The sequence below is a fragment of the Homo sapiens genome, chromosome 11 (assembly GCF_000001405.40).
Source record: "Homo sapiens chromosome 11, GRCh38.p14 Primary Assembly".
NCBI classification, from domain to species: Eukaryota; Metazoa; Chordata; class Mammalia; order Primates; family Hominidae; genus Homo; species Homo sapiens.
Window position 1 is genome coordinate 56457943 of NC_000011.10, and position 2307 is coordinate 56460249.

The following is a 2307-nucleotide window of genomic DNA, read 5'->3' on the forward strand; positions in this document are numbered from 1 at the left end:
ATGCCCACACTCATCACTCCTATTCAACATACTACTGAAAGTCCTATCCAGAGCAATCAGGCAATAGTAAGCAATAAAAGGCATCCAAATAGGAAAAGAAAAAGTCAAACAATCTTTCTTTGCTGCTAATACGATTCTATACCTAGTAAACACTAAAAACTCTGCCAAAAGTTGTTTAAACAAATAAATGACTTCAGTAAAGTTGCAGGATACAAAATAAATGTAAAAAAAATCAGCAGCATTTTTATGTATCAATAACATCCAAGCTGAGAACTGAATCAAGAACACAATCCCATTTACAATAGCCACTAAAAAAATAGAATGCATAAGAATACATCTAACCAAGGAGGTGAAAGATTTCTATAATAACTACACACTGCTGAAAGAAGTCATACATGACACAATGAATTGGAAAAACAGTCCATGCTCATGGATTGAAAGAACTGGCATCATTAAAATGGCCATACTGCCTAAAGCAATCTACAGACTCAGCACTATTCCTATCAAACTACCAACGTCATTCTCCACAGAATTAGAAAAAAACGATTCTTAAATTCCTATGCAACCAAAAAGAGCCTGAATAGTGAGAAAAAAAAAGAAAGAAAAAGAAAAGAGAAAAACCAAAGCCAGAAGTATCACATTACCTGACTTCAAACTATACTGTATAGCTACAGTAACCAAAAGAGCATGGCTCTGTTACAGAAATGGTCATATACCACATTGGAAAAGAATAGGGATTCCAGAAATAAAGCTGCACACCTACAGCCATCTGATAATTGTGAAAGTCAAAAAAAAAAAATGACCTCCTATTCATTAAATGTTGCTGGCTATTCATATGCAGAAGAATGAAACCTCACCCCTACTTTTCACCATATACAAAAATTAACTTAAGATGAATTAAAGTTTAAATGTAAGTGCTCAAAAAGTAAGAAGCCTAGAAGAAAACCTAGGAAACACCCTTCTGGACATGGGCCTTGGAAAAGAATTTGTGACTAAATGCATTCAGCAATTTAGCAATTGTTAAATGAGCAACTGCAACAAAAACAAAAATTCACAAGTGGGGCCTAATTAAATGAAGTGTTTCTGCACAGCCAAAGAAACTATCAACAGAGGAAACAGATAGCCTACAGGATGAAAGAAAATATTCACAAACTATGACAAAGGTCTAATATCCAGAGTTTATAAGAAACTTAAATGATTCAACAAGCAAAAAATAAATAACTCCATTAAAAAGTAATCAAAAGATATGAACAATTTTCTAAAAAATACATACAAGTGGCCAAAGAGACACATGAAAAAATACTCAACATCACTAATCATCACAGAAATGTAAATCAAAACCACAATAAGATACCATCTCACACCAGTCAGAACGGCTATTGTTAAAAAGCCAAAAAAACAACAAATGTTGGTGAGGCTTCCAACAAAAGGTAACATTTATACACTGTTGGTGGGAATGTAAATCAGTTCAGTCACTGCAGAAAGCACTTTGGAGATTTCTCAAAGAACGTGAAACAGAACTACCATCCAATCCAGCAATCCCATTACTGTGTATATATTGAAAAGAAAACAAATTGTTCTGTTGCAGCTTTCTTACTCCTGTCGTTTGGTGAGCAGGAGGGAGTGGTGCCCAGCAGCTTCTTCACTCCCATAGTTTGGCGAGTGAGAGGAAGTGTTATAGCTCTTTCATTTCTGCAGTTCCATGAGTTCCAAGTTCTTCTCTTGAGACCAAGAGGAATGAGGTACATGGACACTGGAGAGTAAGTAAGTCTCATTAAAATTTATTGAGTGAAAGAAACACTCTCAACAGTGAGAGGGGACCCAAAAGTGGGTAGCCTTATGTGAGGCTGAGTCTGGGCTTTTTATGGGCTTAGACTGGGGAATGCATGCTGATTGTTTTATTGGTGGGCTTGGAAAAGACACCATTCGGTTGGTTAAAAGGCATCATTCAGAAGGAATCAATCAAGAGCATGGGTAAGGTGGGGATGGGAGTTCTCCCTCTGTCAGTGGATTCTGTCTGGAACTAGCAGCTTGGCTTTCAGGCTTTAGACTGTCCTGGGCTTGAAGGTGGAGTTTCACCTGGACCCAACCCTGTCAGCCTAGGAATTTGTCTGTCTCCTGTTGTTATCCATTCTACCAAAAGGACATATACATTTGTAAGTTGAATACAGAGCAATTAACAATAGCAAATACATGGAATCAACCGAGGTGTCCATCAACAGTTGACTGGATGTGGCAAATATACACTATGTATCACCAAGAAAATGTGGTGTATATACACCATGGAATACTACACAGTCTTAGAAA